Source organism: Homo sapiens, chromosome 3, assembly GCF_000001405.40.
Source record: "Homo sapiens chromosome 3, GRCh38.p14 Primary Assembly".
Classification (NCBI taxonomy): Eukaryota; Metazoa; Chordata; class Mammalia; order Primates; family Hominidae; genus Homo; species Homo sapiens.
Window position 1 is genome coordinate 148,735,698 of NC_000003.12, and position 7,526 is coordinate 148,743,223.

The window sequence follows — 7,526 nt, forward strand, 5'->3', positions numbered from 1 at the left end:
TTCTATGGGTCAATGATTTCACAAGTGAATAGCTAACAGTTATTTCCTGTGGCCTTACTTGGCAGAGAGAGGTGGGGGAAGCAACATAGGAGCAGAAACAGTTCCTTTCTAAGTCTGACTTATAAAATAGGAACAATAAAGACAACAGTTTATTGAACAGGATGGTTTATTGAGCTGTCCAGCACTATAAGCAAATGGCTTACAAACATTTTCCTACTCTTTTTGATGCTTGAGAGAGATACTTTGATAGAAGATTATTCCAAAATATAATTACTTGGTCATTTAGTTCTCTCTTTATTATCATAGGAAACTATGGGGAATTTTTTTTTCTTTAGATTGCAAACTAGTTTTAAAAAGAGCTTGTAATGAACAATTTAATTAGATTGGTTTTGGCTTGCCTAAAAGCTTAAGAAGGTATTAATATTCTAATCAAAAGTCTTGGGAAAGCATTCTTAGAATAAAAAAAGGAAAGAAAATCTTCATTCTTATGCTTTAAGAACCAGGAAAGCTGTCAAAGGATATAAGGTAACTCTTACAAAAGCAATTGTAAAATAAACGTGGTTTGGCCACAATGAGCCAACACCTATGTTTGCCACAGACTTAGATTCCCACCTCACTCATGGCAAATTTATTCAGCTGCTTAAGATTATTTTTTACTCATACTTCGAAAGAACAACAGCCTGGAATTTTTAGACTTTTAATGGCAATGGAAGGAACTTACCTATGATAAACATTTTTCTTTACTCTCACGCTTTCTTAACCCATGGCTGTTCTGAGTCAATGTTTGCCTTGCATTCAAAAAATAATAGTAAAGATTCAAGTAAAACATATTCATTAAGCACTATTTGAAAGATATACCAAGTGCTTTAACATTATCTCACTTTATTCCTACAAAGATCATGTGCAATAAATATCACTGTTCATGTTTCCTACAGATGAAAAAAAACTGAGGGTCATGTTCAGAGAAATTGGATGACTTACCCAGAGCCACACAGATTTGTACGTGGCAAAGGAGGATTCCATTTCAAGTCTTTCAACCCCAAATTCATCTTCCTTTCTCTAAGGGGAAATGGTGCTATGGAATTCATGTAAGCCACAGAGCTTGGATAAAAGGAATAGTAAGACCAAAAATAGGAAAAGTAGGAAGAGGTGGATCCTCCTATGTTTTTAATCAGGGTTCTATCTACCTGTAACTCTTCTGGGAAAAGAAGCAGGATGTGACTGAAACATAGCTGCTTTCTAGATCTCACAAATCTGGCTTTTCTAGTCAATCACATCTCTCTCTCCTTCGGCTTCTCACCAAACCAGCATCCGTTCAGCTTCAAAGAAAAAAGAGCCCTACTGTTTCCCACTCATTTATCATCAATCTAAAGTAACTGCCAATCACAAAAGTCCCATCTTTATTTCTTTCCTTAGAAACAAATTTCTCTAGGGAAGCTTATCAGTAGCAGAAGTGCAGACTGGGAAATGGCCTATGTCACCCTCCCATCTAGAAATGCCCAGTGCACATCCAGATCCCACACCCCCAAGAGCGTTGTGCAATATCTGTTAATTTATGAGAGCTGTTTCCCATAGATGATGCTGCAGGCATTAGTAAGGAGGGCAAAGTTCAAGTGATGACACCATCTCTACTCCACCTGGCTGGTTTCCAGGTGCCATCTCCTGATCCCTCTCCCCACCCCCACTGCCCTCTCACCATCCTTCCCCCAAACCCCACACTCCCCACCAATCTGGGTCAGTGATAAACACAGAGTATTCCACATGCCTCTGATATGATGTAACATTCGACACACTAAAGATAATACTGCCTTTAAGGCTCCTGTCCCCCTGGCTAGACTTAAACTGTGTAGAGGAGGAGAACTGTGACTTTATTCCCCTTGCATCCTGGACACCCACACATGGTAGGTGTTCAGTGAATATGTGATGAGTTGGTGAATACCCACTGAATGTGCTATTTGCATTGCTACTTCCTTGTGCTTCCTTCCACTGTTTCTATCGCCTAAAATTCTTCTCCCTTTTTCCTCCACCCTCGAGTAGGAAAAAATTTGTTTCTTTATTGGGCAGGGAGTTCTGGTCATTATACATTTATGTAAAATGTTCTTCTAATTGGCATATTCCATGCTATGTCCAGATTCTTTCAAGCGAATTCTCATTAAGGTAATAATACCTCACCGAAGTTTCCAGGGATGATCCCCTAGCTGTTCAAAGCTACCTTTTATATATTAAATACCAGTCAATATGAATCAATGGTAACTGAAAAAAAGGCTGATAGCTTGTGAAGGAGTTGGAGTACAAAACTATGCCTATAAATTGATCCTCACAAAGGCAGACTTTTTCCCACAGAAATTGTATTATGAATGCTAGTTATAGTTTGAGACTAGTTAATAAAATTCTACTCACTCCAAACATAGGATTAATGGAACCCACATGAGTTGTGTGCTGTCAAAGTCGAGTCAAGAGGAGAGAGAAGGAGAAGAAAATTTCCTCCCTGTTCTCATAGCTCAGGGCACCCAAGGGATTCTAGAGCGTAAAGTGTACTCCCTTCTATTTTTTACTGCCCTTATTCCCAAGCTGAACCAAATATTTACCTCTGCCCTCATTTTCAGTTATGGAGTTCACTCAGGCCCTTTTCAACCTTCGAGGTTCCTTAACCTTTACATTATTAATTCTTTTTCTAAGCAAAATCCAGCTGATCTCTACTAGATGGTTAAAAGGATAGTAAATAGGTAAATTAATCCACATTAAGCCACAAATGACTGCTAGCCCTAACCCTTTAATGACTAATTAATTTTTAATAAAGAATATGTGTCTATATAAATGAATTTATACTTCTAAGTTGGCATAAGTTCAGAAAAAATAGTAAGATGAACTGGAAAATCTACAAGGTATAGGGAAATCCTCTGGGTGAGGAAGAACTAGTCATACCTCCCTAAAAGCCTAGCCCTAGTTTCTGTTACATTATTTCTTCTTTTCATCTTCTGTTTTCTAAACCACAAGTTTCTAAAAGCACCAAGGAATTTTCTACCTGTTTATTTCGTTTTGTTTTTGTTTCTGTTTTTTTGTCCAAGGTGAGGCCCAAGTTGACACTGAGTATTCTCTGTGAAACTCTGCAAGGAGCAACATGTGATTTCACAGAAATTAGTCTCGATACACTATATTCATGGCTGTAAGTTCTATGCTGCTCACCCATTCATTTGTCCATTCAGTCACTCATTCATGAGACATTTATCATCTGCCTCCTGGAACATACCAGGGCCTACACCAGAAAACAAGGAAACAAGTAAACACTAGTAAACTTTAAACAGGCTCTCCCCACAAGCAACTGACAGACCAGTGGAGAAGACAGATATGTCAACAGATGATTACAATAAAGTTTCAAGGCCGGGTGCGGTGGCTCACGCCTGTAATTCCAACATTTTGGGAGGCCAAGGCGGGTGGATCACCCGAAGTCAGGAGTTCAAGAGCAGCCTGGCCAACATGGCAAAACCCCGTCTCTACTAAAAATAAAAAAATTAGCTGGGCATGATGGTACACACTGGTAGTCCCAGCTACTAGGGAAGCTGAGGCATGAGAATCACTTGAACCTGGGAGGTAGAGATCGCAGTGAGCCAAGATCGCACCACTGCACTCCAGCCTGGGCAATACAGTGACACTCTGTCTCAGAAAAAAAAAAAAAAAGTGTCAAACCTACATCCAAAATGTCAAAGTGCTCAAAAAAGTTGGGAAGGCTTCACCAAAGATGTGACATTTAGGGTAGATAACACCTGTTTGTGGATACTAATGTCCTGGTGAGTCAAAGAAGAAAAGGATGTACATTATATAAGCTGGATGCAAAAAGGAACAATAATGAGGACATGCAACCAAAAACTTACATAGGGAGAACAACTTTACTTACTCAGGGAAGGCAAAGAGACCACTTAAGAACTCCTTCACATGTGTTATGTCTTAAAAGCTGACTACTGGAGTTGTATCCCTTGCACAGCATCCCTTTGCACCAAAGTGAACACTACTCTAAGAACATGTGTTCAGCTCTCCTGAATGCCAAGCACAACCATGCTTGGCATGGCAGTGGTGTCTTATTTCTGCTCCTCTTTTTCCCCAGGGCATGCCATTGCAAGAGAATGCTCAGCCATGTTCATCTGGGGACCTGCTCCTGGTAGAGCAATAGGATCTGTGTGCCCAGCACCACTGCCCACCTAGCTGTCCTGGCCTGTGCCCAATGCTGACCTTCACCTCAGAGTGTGGCTGTACCACATTCGGTGATGTCACTCTCACTGAACCTTCAGCCTCCTTCCTGGGACTTCCTGATGGACTGTTATCCAGGGCAGAATGTGTTGATTTTCTAAATCACATAAATGAATAGCTTGACTGTTGATTATGTAGAAAATCAGAGCAAATATTTGCATGGCTTTGTGCAGCCCATTCTTGAGCATCTGATTCTCCCCAGAATTCTAAAAAACCTGCTGCTTTCTCAAGCCCTCAGTAAAGACATGCTTTCTTGATAATCCTAGCCAAACCTATTCATTTGACATCTTTGTTACACAAATGGTTAACCACAGAGTTAACTTCAGAAATGGCTGGCAGGTATGAAGGTTAGAAGATTCATGCACTTTTGCTAGACTGAATTGGAAGTTAAAGAGTAAGTAGTTACTGACTGCAGAGGCCTGGAAAACCATGGAAAAAATCCTATTCCTCAAAGTCGAGCCCTACCTCCTACGCCTCTTAAATCAATTGCCACAGTGACCAATTTGTCAGTCACCTAAAGGCAGCTATCCTGACCACTTAAGGGAGAATACTTATAATCTTTATACCTAAGTAAAGATTGTGAGAGGAAAGAAATGGTTTAAAGAATATGAATGTGTCACACTTCTGAGGTTAATGATAAATGAATTGGTCCTGCTTACCTCAGGAAAAACTTTCAAGTCTTTCTGAAAAACTAATTTAATTCAGTAGTATTTTCTAAGATTTAGGTTATGTTTTTAATCAATTTGGAAACCAAGATTTACTTATAGAAAAAAAGGAAAAGGACCTAGATAGGTTTATTCACATAGAATCCCAATTTCACTTCTCTGGATGATACCATTTTCTACAAAAGCAATTATGTTCTAAAATTTAAGTGTGCTTTCTTAGGCTTTATCAGTTCACAGTGTTTCCTTAAGAAATATGATCCAGTATTTTTTCCTAAGACTAAAGTTGAGTTACTACGTTTATGACTGAGAAATGAATGTTTGTTAGTTTGTTTGTTTACAATAAGAATTTTTTCTTTACCATTTTATTTTTATTTTCCCCAGGTGTATTTGATATAGTGTTTGCAACAAATTCGACCCAGGTGATCAAAATGATTCTCAACTCTTCTACTGAAGATGGTATTAAAAGAATCCAAGATGATTGTCCCAAAGCTGGAAGGCATAATTACATATTTGTCATGATTCCTACTTTATACAGTATCATCTTTGTGGTGGGAATATTTGGAAACAGCTTGGTGGTGATAGTCATTTACTTTTATATGAAGCTGAAGACTGTGGCCAGTGTTTTTCTTTTGAATTTAGCACTGGCTGACTTATGCTTTTTACTGACTTTGCCACTATGGGCTGTCTACACAGCTATGGAATACCGCTGGCCCTTTGGCAATTACCTATGTAAGATTGCTTCAGCCAGCGTCAGTTTCAACCTGTACGCTAGTGTGTTTCTACTCACGTGTCTCAGCATTGATCGATACCTGGCTATTGTTCACCCAATGAAGTCCCGCCTTCGACGCACAATGCTTGTAGCCAAAGTCACCTGCATCATCATTTGGCTGCTGGCAGGCTTGGCCAGTTTGCCAGCTATAATCCATCGAAATGTATTTTTCATTGAGAACACCAATATTACAGTTTGTGCTTTCCATTATGAGTCCCAAAATTCAACCCTCCCGATAGGGCTGGGCCTGACCAAAAATATACTGGGTTTCCTGTTTCCTTTTCTGATCATTCTTACAAGTTATACTCTTATTTGGAAGGCCCTAAAGAAGGCTTATGAAATTCAGAAGAACAAACCAAGAAATGATGATATTTTTAAGATAATTATGGCAATTGTGCTTTTCTTTTTCTTTTCCTGGATTCCCCACCAAATATTCACTTTTCTGGATGTATTGATTCAACTAGGCATCATACGTGACTGTAGAATTGCAGATATTGTGGACACGGCCATGCCTATCACCATTTGTATAGCTTATTTTAACAATTGCCTGAATCCTCTTTTTTATGGCTTTCTGGGGAAAAAATTTAAAAGATATTTTCTCCAGCTTCTAAAATATATTCCCCCAAAAGCCAAATCCCACTCAAACCTTTCAACAAAAATGAGCACGCTTTCCTACCGCCCCTCAGATAATGTAAGCTCATCCACCAAGAAGCCTGCACCATGTTTTGAGGTTGAGTGACATGTTCGAAACCTGTCCATAAAGTAATTTTGTGAAAGAAGGAGCAAGAGAACATTCCTCTGCAGCACTTCACTACCAAATGAGCATTAGCTACTTTTCAGAATTGAAGGAGAAAATGCATTATGTGGACTGAACCGACTTTTCTAAAGCTCTGAACAAAAGCTTTTCTTTCCTTTTGCAACAAGACAAAGCAAAGCCACATTTTGCATTAGACAGATGACGGCTGCTCGAAGAACAATGTCAGAAACTCGATGAATGTGTTGATTTGAGAAATTTTACTGACAGAAATGCAATCTCCCTAGCCTGCTTTTGTCCTGTTATTTTTTATTTCCACATAAAGGTATTTAGAATATATTAAATCGTTAGAGGAGCAACAGGAGATGAGAGTTCCAGATTGTTCTGTCCAGTTTCCAAAGGGCAGTAAAGTTTTCGTGCCGGTTTTCAGCTATTAGCAACTGTGCTACACTTGCACCTGGTACTGCACATTTTGTACAAAGATATGCTAAGCAGTAGTCGTCAAGTTGCAGATCTTTTTGTGAAATTCAACCTGTGTCTTATAGGTTTCCACTGCCAAAACAATGCCCGTAAGATGGCTTATTTGTATAATGGTGTTACTAAAGTCACATATAAAAGTTAAACTACTTGTAAAGGTGCTGCACTGGTCCCAAGTAGTAGTGTCTTCCTAGTATATTAGTTTGATTTAATATCTGAGAAGTGTATATAGTTTGTGGTAAAAAGATTATATATCATAAAGTATGCCTTCCTGTTTAAAAAAAGTATATATTCTACACATATATGTATATGTATATCTATATCTCTAAACTGCTGTTAATTGATTAAAATCTGGCAAAGTTATATTTACTTTAAAATAAAATAATTTTATTGCAATGTATTTATCTTCATTACTTAAAATAGATGCTAATTTATTTTAAAATAAGACTACCTTGAATGAGTATGAATATATTTTTATTTAAATTTTGATACAACTGATAGTTTAATACTATTGGTTATAGATTTTTTATCCTGACATTGAAAAGTTAAAGAAAAAACATTTTGTTCTACTGCATGTCATGGAATAAACACATCGTTTTGAATTTTTCAGTTTTTC

At 38.2% G+C, this 7,526-nt stretch overlaps 1 protein-coding gene across 7 annotated transcripts in view; it reads left to right on the top strand.

The window, feature by feature from the left end:
- The window catches only part of AGTR1 (angiotensin II receptor type 1), a 45,101-nt gene extending 37,795 nt beyond the window's left edge, over positions 1–7,306 (top strand). For 6 of the 7 annotated variants that reach the window (NM_001382737.1, NM_001382736.1, NM_031850.4 and 3 more), the window contains one exon: positions 5,292–7,306. In NM_001382737.1, coding sequence (NP_001369666.1) covers positions 5,339–6,418 — 1,080 coding nt within the window. In that variant the 5' untranslated portion in view covers positions 5,292–5,338 and the 3' untranslated portion in view covers positions 6,419–7,306. Of the gene's footprint in view, positions 1–4,102; positions 4,260–5,291 lie in introns of all 7 variants that reach the window. The other variant, NM_032049.4, reaches the window with a different exon arrangement.